The 16,484-nt window shown below is 32.9% G+C and overlaps 1 protein-coding gene across 1 annotated transcript in view; it reads left to right on the forward strand.

Moving 5' to 3' along the window:
* APLF (aprataxin and PNKP like factor) overlaps positions 1-16,484 on the forward strand; it is a 112,578-nt gene that overhangs the window by 70,962 nt on the left and 25,132 nt on the right. The window contains exon 8 of the mRNA NM_173545.3: positions 6,641-6,766. Within this exon, the coding sequence (NP_775816.1) occupies positions 6,641-6,766 (126 nt within the window). The remainder of the gene's footprint in view (positions 1-6,640; positions 6,767-16,484) is intronic.

Below are 16,484 nucleotides of genomic sequence, written 5' to 3' on the forward strand. Positions count from 1 at the left end.
AGAGAGATGGCTTCCTACAGAGTTGTTGTCTACAATATAACTATAATTTTAAGTTGTATTTAGGTGTCTTTTCTTTATATTTTTGTAATGGTGCTTTGAATCATCATGGTACCCTGTAAAACAACTGAATATAATAATCCTGGATTGATGGGTTGCTCCTATACTTGCTTCATTTATTTACACTGCCCTATATACTCTAATTTCTTATTTTGAGAATTCAAATTATAATCTCTTAGTTTTAGGCTATACTTTCATCCATAGTGTTTATAGTAACATGTTTATAATTACATAACCCTATTTCAGAAAGATTTCTTGCCATTCCAACTTGCCAAACCAAATATCCTAGCAATCCTTTCCAGTAGTTTGTCTTCTGTGTCAATAAGACACTAGTCAGCATGTATACATATAAAACATTCAGTTCCCCCCACTGTATCTTAAAAGCCTATAGCAGGATTTTCTAGAAGATAGATATCTTTATTGCAATAGTATATTTTAATATATTCTGTTAATTTCACATTCATATTCTCTTTAAAAGGTATTGCCATTTTAGCACTTGAATAACTCATATTTTAAAATTTGAATAGTTCTGATTTATGCTTTTTGAAACATTTTTGTATATATGCAATGGCTTTAGTTCCACATCTGGACCATAATGTAAAAACTTGCAGAATGGAAGTATATATACCTTCTGTTACCTTGGATTGTATTAGTTTGCCAGGGCTGCCATAACAAAATACCAGATTGGGTGCTTAAAAAACAGAAATGTATTTTCCCATAGTTCTGGAGGCTGGAAGCCCTAGATCATGGTGTCAGCAAGTTTGTTTTCTCCTGAGACCTCTTTTCTTGGCTTGCAGACTGCCACTTTCTCACTGTGTCTTCACATAGCCTGTTCTCTGTACATGTACCTTCCTGGTCTCTTTTCCACATCTTGTAAGGACACCAGTTATATTAGGTTGGGCCCCACCCTTATGACCTCGTTTAACCTTAATCATCTTTTTAAAGCCCCTATCTCCAAATTAGTCACACTGGAAATTAGGGCTTCAACATATGAATTTTGGGAGGTGGGGAACAATGCACTTCATAACACAATTTAAAAGAGAAAATTCATAATGGTCATCTCAATAGAGAAAAGTCATATGATAAAATTCAACATCCCATTTATGAAAAAAATTCTTAATTATATAAGAATAGAAAAGACTTCTTCAGTTTAATCAAGAATATCTACAGAAACCAACAGCTAACTTCATACTTAATGGTGAAAGATTAGAGTTTCTCCCATGATGTTGGGAACTAACCAGTATGTCTGCTATCACCACTCCTATTCAACATTGCAGTAGAGATCATAGCCAGTACACTAAGGCAAAAAAAAGAAATAACATGTAGAGTAGAAAGGAAAAAATAAAACTGTAATTATTTACAGGTGACATGATTGTATAATTTTGAAAATTCAGAATCTTTTTCTTATTATACTCTGAGTTCTGGAATACATGTGCAGAACGTGCAGGTTTGTTATATAGGTATACATGTGCCATGGTTTTCTGTACCCATCAACCCATCATCTAGGTTTTAAGCCCCACATGCATTAGGTATTTCTCCTAATGCTATCCCTCCCCTTGCCCCCACCCCTCAACAGGCACCAGTATGTGATGTTCCCCTCCCTGTGTCCATGTGTTCTCATTGTTCAACTCCCACTTATGAGTGAGAACATGCAGTGTTTGGTTTCCTGTTCTTGTGTTAGTTGGCTGAGAATGATGGTTTCTAGCTTCATCCATGTCCCTGCAAAGGACATGAAGTCATTGTTTTTTATGGCTGCATAATATTCCATGGTGTATATGTGCCACATTTTCTTTATCCAATGTATCATTGATGGGCATTTGGGTTGGTTCCAAGTCTTTGCTATTGTGAATAGTGCTGCCATAAACATACATTAGCATGTATCTTTATGGTAGAATGATTTATATTCCTTTAGGTATATACCCAGTAATGGGATTACTGGGTCAAAAGATATTTCTGGTTCTAGGTCCTTGTGGAATTGTCACGCTATCTTCCACAATGGTTGAACTAATTTACATTCCCACCAACAGTGTAAAAGTGTTCCTATTTCTCCACATCCTCTCTAGCACCTGTTGCAAGAATCAATATTGTAAAGATATATATTTCCTCAAAATCGCTCTGTAAGTTTAAAGCAGTCTTTATCAGAATCCCAATAGGGTGTATGTGCATGCGTGTGTGTGTGTGTGTATGTGTGTGTATGTGTGTAAGTTGACAAACTGACTTTATAGAGGAATAGCAAAGGACGTAGAACTCTGAATACAATCTTCAAGTGCAAACTTGAAAGACTTACATGACCAGATAGAAAGCCTTATTATAAAGCTACCATATATAATGCAGTTTAATATTGGTGCAAGGATAGATAAACAGTAATCAGTGCAAGAGATTAAAGAGTTCAAAACCAAACCTACATGTCTGTGTTTATGACAAAGGTACCACTGAAGATCTGTGGGTTAAGCATGAACTTTCAATGAGTGGTGTTTGGTAATTGGATATTCATATGAAAAGATAATGAATCTTAACTCCTGCCTTATACCTATCACAAAATAAATCTCAGATAGATTTTTGTAAAACATATAAAGTACAGGTAGCAGAGGATAACATAGAATATATTCATGACATTGGGCAAAGATTTCTTAAGCATGTTATAAAATGAAGTAATCATAATCATGTTATCCAGTTGATCAGTTGGACAAAATTAAAATTAAAATTACCCTTTATGTTATATTTAAATATAATATTAGAAGGGTGAAAAGGCAAGGCACAAAGTAGATGAGGATATTTGTTACACATATGTCAAAGAACTTGTATCAAAAATAAATAACTAGCAACCAATAAGAAAATGACAACTCAGTTAAGAAAAAAAAATGAGCAAAAGGCACTGCACAAAAGAGAACAGTGAAATGGCCAATAAGCATACAAGAAAGGTTTAATGCTTGTTAGTCATGTAGGGAAACACATTTTAAAAGATAATACTACAGATCAGTGGTTGTCAAACTTTTAAAAGTGCCAGACAGTAAATATTTTTGGCTTCATGGGCCGTACAGTCTTTGTTGCCACTGCTTAATTATGCTGTCACAGTGTGCAAGCAGCCATAGACAGCACAGGCAGTGAAGATGTTCATACTATTCAAGGTGATCTACAGAATTAATGCAATCTCTATCAAAATCCTAATGGTTTTTTTTGGCAGAAATAGAAAAAATTATTCTAAAATCATGTGGGATCTCAAGTAGCCAAAACAATCTTGAAGATGATCAAAGTTGGAGGTCTCACACTTCCTGATTTTAAAATGTATTACAAAGCCACAGTAATCCAAACAGTGTGGTACTGGCATAAAGATAGACATATAGACAAATGGAATAGACTAGAGAGCCTATAAATAAATCCTCATATATATGGTTAAATAATTTTCAACAATGGTCTCAAGACAAATCAAAGAGGAAAGGACAGATTTTTTTCAATAAAGAGTGCTCAGAAAACTGCATATTCACATGCAAAAGAGTGAAGTTGGATGCTTGCCTTACACTTGTTTTCAAAATATAACTTAAAATGGATCAAATAATCTGAACATATAAAACTATAAACATCTAAAACTACAAGACTCTTAGAAGAAAATGGGGGAGAAGCTTCATGACATTGGATTTGACAAAGATTTCTTGGATATGACACCAAAGCACAGACAACAAAAGCAAAAATAGAAAAATTGGACTTTTTAAAGTTAAAAACTTCTGTACATGAAAGAACAAAATTAACACAGAGTGAAATGACAACCTATGGAATGGGATAAAATATTTGCAAATTATATATCTGATAAGGATTAATGTCTAGAATACATAAAGAACTATAACTAAACAACCAAAAAACAAATTACCCAATTTGAAATTGGGGACAGAACTTAAATAGATATTTCTCTAAAGATAATATACAAATGACCAACAAGCATATTAAAAGATGCTCAACATCACTAAACATTAGGGAAATGCAGACCATAACCACATTGAGATATCACCTCACACCTATTAGGGTGGCTGCTTTCAAAAACGAAATGAAAAACAAGTAACAATTGTTGATGGGGATGTGGAAAAATTGGAACCTTTGTGCATTGTTGATGGGAGTGTAAATTGGTGTAGCCACTGTGGGAAACAGTATGGTAGTTCCTCAAAAAAATTAAAGATAGAATTACCCTATTATATAGAAATTCCACTTCTGGGTATATATCCATAAGAATTGAAAGCAGAATCTCAAAGAGTTCATAGCAGCACTATATTCACAATACCCAGGAGGTAGAAGGAACCCACATGTCCATCAATTATTGAAGGAATAAAGAAAATTTGGTATATACATATGATGGAATATTATTCAGCCTTAAAAGGAAGGGAAATTCTGACACATGCTCCTATGTGTATGAACCTTGAGGACATTATGCTAAGTGAAATAAACCAGTCACAAAAAGATAAATACTTCATAATTCTACTTGTAGGAGGTATCTAGAGTAGTTAGATTCATAAAAACAAATTAGAATGGCAGTTACCAGTGCCTGTGGGGAAAAACAGAAATCAGAATGGTGGATTCCGGGGAGGACAGGAGGAGCTGGGAAGTTGTTGTTTAATGGGTATAGAGTTTTCAGTTGCACAAGTTGAAAAAATTCTAGGGATTGGTTGCACAACAATGTGAATATACTTAACATTACTGAACTGTGCACATAGAAATTGTTAAGATGGTAAATTTTATGTTACGTATATATTCTTAGCACAGTTTAAAAAAAGCAGTAGGCCAGATTTGGCCTGCTGTTCATGGTTTGCCACTCTCTGCTATAAATACTGCCATGTGAAAAAACAAAAAAGAAACCTAACAGTGCTAAATGTTGGTGAGGTTGTTGAAAAACTGGAACTCTAATAACCTACTGGGAGTGAAAATTAATACAGTCATTTTGGAAATTTGGCAATATTTATCAAACCTGAGCATATACATACCCTGTGACCATTCTTAACTATATCCCCAGGAAAATGCATATAGATGTGCATCAGAAGGCTTATACGAGAATGCTCATTGCAGTATTACTTATAGAAGTCAATACCTGAAATGAACCCAAAAGTTTATCAGTAGTAAAATGGATAAATTATAATACCATCATCAAATGGATGATGCTATTACTACATGGTATTGAAAACGTACTTACTGCTACATGTAACAACATGAATTAATCATATAAATATAAAAGGGCTGGTTCAAAGAAGTGCATACTAGTATATATTTTCATTTAAGTTCAAAGGCAGACAATACTGATCTGTTGTTTTATAATATCACTTCTTAAAGTATGATCCAGAGATCCCTGGATGTCCCCAGAACACGTTTAAGAAATCTGTTAAGTCAATTGTATTTTCTTTTTTTTTTTTTTTTTTGAGATGGAGTCTTGCTCTGTCACCCAGGCTGGAGTGCAGTGGCACAATCTTGGCTCACTGCAACCTCTGCCTCCTGGGTTCAAGCAGTTCTCCTGCCTCAGCCTCCTGAGTAGCTGGGATTGCAGATGTGCGCCACCAAGCCCGGCTAGTTGTATTTTTAGTAGAGATGGGGTTTCACCGTGTTGGCCAGGCTGGTCCTGAACTCCTGACTTCAAGTGATCTGCCCTCCTCGGCCTCCCAAAGTGCTAGGATTACAGGTGTGAGCCACCACAGCCGACCCAAAAGTATTTTCATAATAATATTGTGACTTTTTGTGAATGCCTTTTTTTACTGCCATTCACTCTCTCACAAGTGTACAGTGGAGTTTCCCAGAGGCCACAAGTTATGTGTTGTTGTTAATGATTGAATGCAGAAGCAGGCATGAGAAGCCAAATGCCTTCTCTAAAGTAGAGATTAAATAAATTTCCATAGTATAAAACAATAATTTTTTCTTGGAAGTTAATAATTATTTATGTTAAGACATGTTATTATGATAATATGTAAAGGGTTTATTATTGTTCTATTTAAGTCAATAAATGCACTTTTTCAATTTCTCATTTATAATTTCTAATAGGGTAAATATCCTATATAAACAAAAGCTCTCTGGAGTTTTAATCTTTTTTTTAGTGTAAGAGTCTTGAGACCGAAAAGTTTGAAAAACACTTTTAGAAGTTAGGATAGTTACCTTTGCGTAGTAAATGGATTTAGTGATTGAAGAGGGCACATGGGACCTTTCTAGGATGTTGGAAACGTTCTGTTTTTTATCTTAGCAGAGGGTACAATATATGTGCTCATTTTATTAAAAGTTTTGAAAAGCTATATATATTTATGATATTTATGTTATATGCTTACATACATATGTGTCATATATATAGTAATGTTTGCAAGTTGTCTATTGATATCATGGCTCATCACATGACACCAGAAATGTAGTATGTTACTGTGAGAGTCCTGTACTGAGTTTATGTCATCAACTTTATGTCATCAATTTAGCATGTTGATGTAATCTGCGCTTATGTCATCAATGTAGCATGTTGGTTTATGTTCAAGGATAGCCAGATGTGGATTGTCTGGTTTCCTGCTATATCCACTAAAAATCTAGAATATCCTATTTTTTTTTTCTGACAGTATATTTGTCGCCCTCCTAGGAAGAATCCTGTTCATTTTCAACATTTTAGCCATCCTGGTGATAGTGATTATGGAGGTGTACAAATCGTGGGCCAAGATGAGACTGATGACCGGCCTGAATGTCCCTATGGACCATCCTGTTATAGGTATAGAAACTGAATGTTTGGCTGCACTCCTTTTCTTTCTTATCTCTGTTACTTATCTAGGAGAAACTGACAGCAGCTTGTTATCTCAAGCCTTTTAATTTTCATTTTTAAACTTCTGTAGATTACAGGTTTTCATGTTGGTAATAGGTAGGATGATATTTCTTTTAGCTAATTCTGAATTACTGAAGTTACACATCTACGAGTGCCTGAAATTTTTCCTTATTTCCAACTTTCTGTAATGCAAATTAGATCACTTAAAAGCTGTTGATGCTACCCCAATATACACTTAATTCACTCTGTATGTCCTAGGTGTGACATATAAATCTATTTGGGATGTTATCTCTGCATCCCTCTGCTTCCTCAACTTTTACTACTCCACTATTCTTGCCAACACAGAAAGTCCAATCCTAAAGGAAGAGTAAGAATACTTCTCCTCTCAGTTTTCATGGCATCTTGTCCTTGTCCGTATCATGCACAGAGTAGGATTTATCTCATGAGATTATGTTTGTTTCTTTATCAGAACATCTTTTCCTACAGGCAGCAAGTATCTTGACAGCAAGGACTCTCATCTTTGTATCTTGCAACTTTGCTTAATAGATGAATGAACTTGAAATGAAACAAACTATCAAAGAAAAAAGTAGTGATTTCAGCTTTACAGAGCTTTAATTCCAGACAGCCATCTTTCTTAGATAATTTTAAATACAGATTGCTGAACCTACTGGGCTATTTGAAGTTGTTTCTATTTCTGTGATTGTGGTTTTCAATGAGAAGGCAAAGTAAGTTTCTAGGACCAGAAAGGAGAATGACTTATACTTTTTTTGAAAGGTAAGTGTTCATTATAATCAACTTTACCAATAAACTTGAAAATTTTTGGAGAAATTAACAAATTCCTAGAAAAATACAACTTTAAGAAACAGATACAATCAAAAATTGAGTTAATATAAGAGAAATTGAATATATAATTTAAAGCTTTCCACAAAGAAGTGATAGATCTGTTTGGTTTTAATGGCAGGTTCTAACAAACATTTAAAGAAGAAGCACTTCATTTTTACACAGACTACTCCAAAGAAAGTAAAAGAGGGTGTATTTCCCAATTCATGATGTGAGACCAGCACAAGTTTGATACCAAAACCCAGCAAGAATAATACAAGAATGAAAAATTATAGGATAAGCTTACTTTTGAACATAGTTGTAAATATCCTGAGGGGAGAAAAGTTATGAGAATCAAGTGATAAATAAAAAGGAAAATATAATATGACCAAATAGGGTCTATCTAAGGAATGCATGTTTTAATGTTAAAAAATAAATTCATTTACCATGTCATCAGAATAAGTAGAAAAGCCATCTCCATAGATGATTGGAAAGAAAAAAACCTGACAAACCAAAATCAGCATTCATTTATGAAAAAAACTTGTTATAAAGTAAGAATAGAAGGGAACTTCTTTAATATCAAAAAGAATATCTACAAAAAATTTATAGCAAATATTATACTTAAAATATTAAAAATTTCCTTTCTGAAATCAGAACTGAGACAAGAATGCCTGTTATTACCACTTCAGTTCATCATTATGTGGCGATTCAAGACAGTATACTAAGACAAGAAAAGGAAAATGGATAAGGATTGCAAAGGAAGAAATAAAACTTTGTGTTAACAGATGGTATTATTGTATATGCAGTAAATACAAAGTGGCCCACTGATGAGTTATAAATTTAGTAAGTGCTTAGGATGCTTACTGGATACAAAAATCAATATATAAAACCAATTGTATTTGTATATTCCAGCATTAACCGGTAAGAAAATAAAATTTTTTAAAGATTATAACATCAAAAAGTAAAGAGTCCTTAGGAATAAATATAAAAGGCGTAGAAACCTCTATGAAGAAAACTATAAAACTTTAAATGTAAAAATGAGAAAATGTTTTTCAGAAAGACCTAAATAATTATGAAGATCAAAATGTTCATGATTGAATTATTCAGTAGTGTCAAAATACCAGTTTTCCTCAAATGGATTTGTATACAAACTGATTCAAAATCATATTAGCTTTTATAAAGAAATTTACAATGTGATTCTAAAATGTATATGGATTACAAAGGATAAAAATAGCCATGACAATCGTACATAATGAAGAATAGGTGGCAGGATGTGTTATACTTTATAGTTACTAAAGCAGTGTGGTATGGGCACAAAGATAAAGTAACATGACCAGAACAGAATGGTACTTCAAAATAGGCTTATATATGTAAGGTGACATATTTATGAAAAGGGACGTTGCAGGTATTGAGAAAAATGAATTTTTTCAATTAATTATAAGGGGATAAGTAGATATTCATCTGAAGAAAAAATAAAATTTGACCCTTATATCACACCATAGTCAAAAACTGAATTCCAGATGACTCATAGTACTAAATGTAAAAAACAAAATAATATAGCTTTATTTTTTTTTGTTTGTAAATTACCCAGTCTCAGGTATGTCTTTATTAGCAATGTGAGAACAAACTAATATGCCATCTAAATTTATTGTAATTACTTATTTTACAACTATAAATGAAGTCAGGATTCAGGAATTACACTTAACTTATTTACAGTTAAATCTCCAATATCTAACAGACTGCTGACTTACATTAGATAGATGTTCAAGAAATCTTTGTTGAATAAAAAATGGATCCAGAGACTAAAATGGAATCAACTGTGCCTTTTGTTCCACTTTACTGTTTAAGAAGGAAGGTAAGTTTAGATAACTCAAAACATTACTGACAAAACTCTGCAGTCATCTGAACAAATAACTTCCAGATGAATTGGTGTCTTCTCTAACGTAATTAAAAATAATATAGCTTTAAAAATAAATATAAGGGAATTGTTTCATGATCTCAGAGCAGGGATTATTTTCTAAAACAAGAAACAAAAATTAATTAAAATGAAAAACATTTAATTATTTGACTACATTAAAAGTAAGGTGTTTTTAATCCATCAGTACACAACATTAAGAGAATAAAAACAAAGCACACAGTAAGAAAAAATATATTTGCAACCCACATAATTGACAGTAGCATATATCTAGAACACATGAAAAAATATTTTAAATTGCTATTGCTTTTTGCTTGGTAACATACATAGCCTTTTTGCCCAAAAGGAAATCCAAATATTAAACACATGAAAAAATACTCAGTGTCATTAGTAATCAGGGACATTAGACACACATGCACACACACATAAACATATAACCTTGAAGTAACTGTTTTCTCCTATTTATTCATTCAACAAATTCTTTTCCAAAGAATCATCAAATGCCAAGTGTTGATGAAACAGTGTTGAGATGTACTTGTAGAACAAACATACTTTTATATATTTATTTATAATTTTGGAACAAAGCCACCTTTCATAGCTCATGTTGTATATAATTCGTGGCACTGTGGTGATATGCCTTTTCATTTGTTAAAAAAAAACTTTTGTAATGGAGAATTTTATCCATAAACACAAGTGGAGAGAATGTAGAATAAGTTCTAGTGAAATCCATCACCTAGTTTGTGCAGCTATCGACTCATGATCAATATTGTTTCATCAATCCCCAAACCACTTGCTACCCCATCCCTGTATTATTTTGAAGCAAATACCTAACCCCATATCTTTTCATCCCATTTTATCTATGAGTATCTTAGGGTGTATCTCTAAAGATAAGCTCTAAAAACCTACCACAACACTGTTATTAAATAAATCTTTAATATTATTCAATATCCTGTCAAGTATCTACATTTCCCTATAGTGTCATTTTTTTTAACAGTTTATCTGAATCAGGATCTGCTTAAATTCTACATGGCAAAAGATGGCCATGTCTCTTAACTTATTTAATCAATAGGTTTCTCTTCATTTTTTCCTTGCTATATATTTGTTGAAGAAAGCTAATCATTTGTTCTGAAGAGGATTCCATCATTTGCATTTTGTTGATTGTATTTTCAGGATGTCATTAATCACATTTCCTGTATTTCCTAATAATTTATAGTTTGAACTAGAGGGTTGATCAGATATCAGTTCTAAAAATTGTGAAAGTTGCCTGGTCCTTTGAATATTATTTCCCTCTTAGTCTCTAAAATGTTTTTACCTGAAAGTCTACTTTGATATTTATAAATGTTTGAGAATTGCTCTAATATCTATTATAATTATCATTATTGATTTATAATTTAATTCCATATGGTTATATAGCACACACTTTGGAAATTAAATCTTTGGAAATTTATTGAGATTTGTTTTGGCCCAGCATATGGGTGACTTTTATTGAACATATGGTGTGCACTTACATGTGTATTCTCTAGTTGCTGGAAGTAAGGTTTTATAAATGTCGATTTGGTCAAATGGTTATAGTGTTGTTCAGAATTTTTTATATATTTGCTAGTTGATTTTTTTCCTGTGGTGGTTCTACTAGTTACTGAGAGAGGAATATTAAAACCTTCACTATGATTATAGGTTTGTTTATTTCTCTGCTTAATTCTGTCAGTTTTTCTTAGTACTCCAGCTGTAAATTTGTCCTCAGTGAAAAAGCCATAAAAGTGGGAAATTTACTCAGAGCTGTATCTTTCTTCCACATATTGACTCTCCAGTTTCTGTTTGCTTTTGGTAGCTATCCACTACCTTCTGATTATTGTTTTTAATATTTTTTCCAGAGTGTAATTGTAACCTGTCGGAGTGTTGGTCCGATATAATCTACTCTGTCATTATTGAAAGTGGAATCCTTGTTTTGTCTAATATAATATAACTACCCAAGGTTATGTGGTTAGTGTTTGTGTAATATCTTTTTTAATCCTTTTAGTTTCAACTTCTGTTCTTATATTTAAAACATGTCTTTTATAAAGAGCATATAGTTGCTTCATTGGTTTTTATTTTTAATCCAGTCTGATAGTATCTGTGTTTTAGGTGGAATACTTAGTCCATTTACATTTTTTTTGAGATGGAGTTTTACTCTCTTGTCTAGGCTGGGGTGCAGTGGCGCAATCTCGGCTCTCTGCAATCTCCGCCTTCCAGGTTCAGGCAATTCTCCTGCCTCAGCCTCCTGAGTAGCTGGGATTATAGGCACCCACCACCACGCCCGGCTAATTTTTGTATTTTTAGTAGAGACGGGGTTTCACTATGTTGGCCAGGCTGGTCTCAAACTTCTGATCTCAAGTGATCTGCCCACCTCAGCCTCCCAAAGTGCTGGGATTACATGCGTGAGCCACCACACCAACCCCATTTACATTTAATACTATTAATGATATATTTTAATTTTTTCTTTTTTGTATTTGTTTTCTATTTATCCTACATATTCTTTGTTTTTTATTCTCCTCTTTTTGACTTATTTTGGATTAAATGTTTTTCATTCTGTTTTTTTCTCCTCTGTTAATTTTTCAATAGCCACACTTTATTTCCATAGGCATCTGTGACTTATTACAATCTACCTTACTGTTGGTGCTTTTACCATTTCCCAAACAGTGCAAGAACCTTACATCACTTTAATTTCATTTACTTCCTCTTTTGTCTTTTTAAACCATTGTTATTATATAGTTATACCTCTGTACATTAACTCACAAGACATTGTAATTATTGTTTAAAAATTGTTTTAAGCATCAACATTCCCTTTATTTACATATTTATTATTTTGAGTGCCCTTTATTTCTTCCTAAACGTCTATCCTTTCATCTGGGATCCTTTTCTTTTAGTTTTAAAAACTTCTTTGCGTTTTTCTTATAGTGAAGATCTACTAAAAAGAAATTCTTTACATTTTTGTGTGTCTGAAAGTGTTCTTATTTTAAATTTTTAAAGGCTGTTTTCACTAGGTATGTAATTCTAGCTTAGCATACCTTTTCTTTTATCATTTATGTCATGCCATGGACTCTTGCATCCATAGTTTCTCTTGAAACTCAGTTGTCTATATTATTATTGCCATTATATTTTTAAATCAATGTGCCTCTTCTTTCACCACTCTTAAGATTTTTATCTTTGCCTTTAGTTTTTAACAGTTTAACTAACGTGCCTAGGTATATTTTTCTTTGTATTCCATCCTATTTGGGGGTTCACTGAGCTTTTTTGCAAGTTAATGCCTTTTATTAGTTTGAGGAGACTGCTTGGCTATTATCTCATCAGATATTGTGTCTACTCTATTTTATCTTTTCTCTTTCTTGTACTCCAACTAAACATATTTTAAACCCTTTGACCATGTCCCACATGTTTCTTCTAGTCTGCTGTTAAGCCCATTCAAAGAGTTCCTAATTTCAGATACTGTATTTTCCAGTTCTAGGATGTTTATTTAATTCTTCTTCTTCTTTTTTTTTTTTTTTTTGGCCAATTCTAATTTTGGTGGAACTATCCATTTTTAATTCATTTTCCCCAATTTTCTACTCTTTTTTAAAAAACATATTAATCTTAGTTCTTTTAATGTTCTTATTTATGAACCAACATTTCTGGTTCTGCTTCTTTTTTTTTTTTCTTGATTGTTGGGTCATATTTTTCTGCCTCTTTGTGTCTAGCAACGCTTTATTGCAATTCTAACATATTTTAATGAAAAGAACTATAGGTACCCTAGATGTTGTCTTCCATCAGTAAGGATACCACCTCTACTTGGCAGGTAGGGGCTAGTCATCTCTGTCCAGTCAGAAATTTAGATAGATAGTAGCTAGTTTGGAGTTTTATTAAAACTCAGTACACTTTTGTTTTATTTCTGCTTGTTTGGCATGGCTTTTCCCGACTTTTATGTGAGAGGCAAGTCTGTATTCTTAGCTATAAAACTTTCCTTTGGCGATTTTGAGCTTAGCCTATTAGCCTACTACCCATGCATCTTAAATTTTGGTTCATTTCTTGAGGGGAGGCTAGTTATGTTTGTTGCAAATACCTTCCCTCCAGTGGGACTTTGTCTCTGAAACACGACTTGAGCTGGATATTTCACATTGCCTTTTTTGAAATTTCAGACCCTCAGCCTCTCACACCTCTCAGGGAACTCAACAAATATTTCTTGGGAAAAATCAGCTTTGTGTTTGGGGCTCCATTTGTTTCCAGATGGTCATGACAACTCTATGAGAGCTCTTTCTTTGAATAGTTTCTCCACTTGGTTTAAATCTTATCCTTAACCAATACCAAGAATTGACAAATATCTTCAGGGAAGAAAGCAGCCTGTGATTGTCAGCTTACAAAGGAAGGACTGTCATTATTAAATCTCTGGAATTTTAGATAATCTAAAATTTTCATTGCTCTCACAATTCTGTCATAAAAGTGATTTTTACAGCCTATCAGGCTTTTTTTTCCTGTTGTTAAAAAGAGTATTCTCCTACCATGAGGTCCTACATTCTTTTCAGAAGCAAAATAAAAATAATGCCTATTCTTCAGAAGAATAAAAACAAAATACAAAGCCTTGCTTAGGATAGTAATGTCAAAAATTGCTGTCTTCTTGTCATCAGTCTTTTTAAAATAGGTCAGAGAAGGGGCTAGTCAAGAGAAACAACTCCAAAACCAATTAGCTTACATGTGCTAATAAAAACTTTCATGTCTGTAGATACGTGTAGATGTATACGTATAGATATGGTGCTTTCTTCACCTACTGAACTGCTTTGTGTCCTGATTCTGGTTGCAGATAAAAACTTACATTTTTTTCTCTTGTTAATTTTAATTACAGTTCAGAGAGACTTTTAGAGAATGTTAGATATGATTGATTACTCTGCCTACTGCTTTAAAAATAAGGGGATGTAAACTAAGAAAGATTAAATGAGCTGTGTAAGACCCCAAAGCTGGTGAGATAAAACCAAATCTCTTCCCTCCTCGAGACCAGAATTTCTCCATGGCATTGCCTGACTCCACGACTGTTAGTCTTGGCTTTCTAAAGTATCACTGGGGGGTTGTCTTTTCAGCCAAATGTCAAAATAATATTTTGGAGTTTTAAAAATAATATTTGGAGTTTTCAAAGTACCTCTAGATAAGGAACTTTGAAGAAATCATAAATTTTCCAGGTCAGCAAAATAATAGAAATCCTTACAAACTGTCTGTTGTCACATGATCATTATTGAGCAAAAAACATACTTAATAGATTTATTTTGTTTCATTGCTGAAACTAAACCAATGTTCAGTTTAGTTATATTATAATCAGTTTACTCTTTTAAAAATATTGATTTGTGAGAGTATATTATTTTTGAGGGTATATTTGTGAAGTATATTATTTTTATTAGCTATATACTGTTTAGTGCTAGAAAATATGCCCAGTGTATCAGAATTATAAAATGTACTAATTTAGTTTGCTTAAAAGTGAGTTTTCATGCATATGCATGCTAGGTTTTTCCTGTAGCCACAGAAAAAAATATTGAAGTTCCACAGATCATAAAATAAGCCATCAAAATGAGCAATAAATGATTATATTTAGAAAAATGGAAAGATATGTATTCCAAAGTAGAGTTGTGATAAGCCTGTTTTCCATGACAGATGACATATTTGGAAGAGAGATGAAATTCATGAGCTACAACATGTTTACTTGCTTTTTTATCTTTAAAAATTTGCCTTCACAAAACAGTGTAAGAATTATTCTGAAGTAAAAACAATTATTCCCTTAAGTGTAATGCTAGGTTGATTTCATATTTTGTTATTATTATTATTTTGCTTCCCAGTCCTACCTTTTAATCACTGGAATGTGTGCAAGTCAGTTTCCTTTTTTATACACCTAGGTGATCTCAGATGTTGTATGCCATGTTAGATAATCTTACTATTATACTACATATCAATGCCTACATTTATATGGTAGTATATTGTATTTCCAAGTATTGTCTTATAGGTTCAAAGTTTTATCACTGTAGAGCAAGTATGTAAACATAAAAACTGTACGTATATGGGTATATATTTCATTTGTAGCCATTCCATCCCATGAGTAAAATGAGAAAAAAATAGGATATGGATCATATATGTAAATGTATACCATAGTAAAAATAAAGATTACCACAGCCCTGCTAATATAGCAGGTTGATCTTTAGAAAAGGATCTGTAATTATTAAATTTTACTTGTACTACTTATACTACAGGCATTGTTAACATTTTCTGTGACTTGTTATACTTTTTTAAATCTAACAAAATTAAATTCAACATGAAAAAATGGTAATTTGAAAGAACTAATTGGTGTTTTCATTTGAAGTATCTTGCCTGATGGGAATTGAGTTGAATTTGTGGATTACTTTGACAGTGTGATCATTTTTACAATATTGATTCTACCTATCCATGAACGTGGGATGTGTTTCCATTTGTTTGTGTCGTCTATGATTTCTTTCAGCAGTGTTTTGTAGTTTTCCTTGTAGAAGAAACCACCTCCTTGGTTAGGTATATTCCTAAGTTTTTTTTTTTTTTGCAGCCATTATAATAGGGGTTGAGTTCTTGATTTGATTCTCAGCTTGATTGCTGTTGGTGTATAGAAGAGCTACTGATTTGTGTACATTGATTTTGTATCCGGAAACTTTGGTGAATTCTTTTATCAGTTCTAGGAGCTTTCTGGAGGAATCTTTAGGGTTTTAGAAAAAAAAATCCTAAAATTCATATGGAACTAAAACAAGACTAAGCAAAAAGAGCAAATCTGGAGGCATCACATTACCTGATTTCAAACTATGCGATAAGGCCATAGTCACCAAAACACCATGGTACTGGCATAAAGATAGGCACATAGACCAATGGAACAGAATAGAGAGCCCAGAAAAAAACCCCTAATACTTACAGCCAACTGATCTTCAA

This window comes from Homo sapiens, chromosome 2 (assembly GCF_000001405.40).
Source record: "Homo sapiens chromosome 2, GRCh38.p14 Primary Assembly".
NCBI lineage: Eukaryota > Metazoa > Chordata > Mammalia > Primates > Hominidae > Homo > Homo sapiens.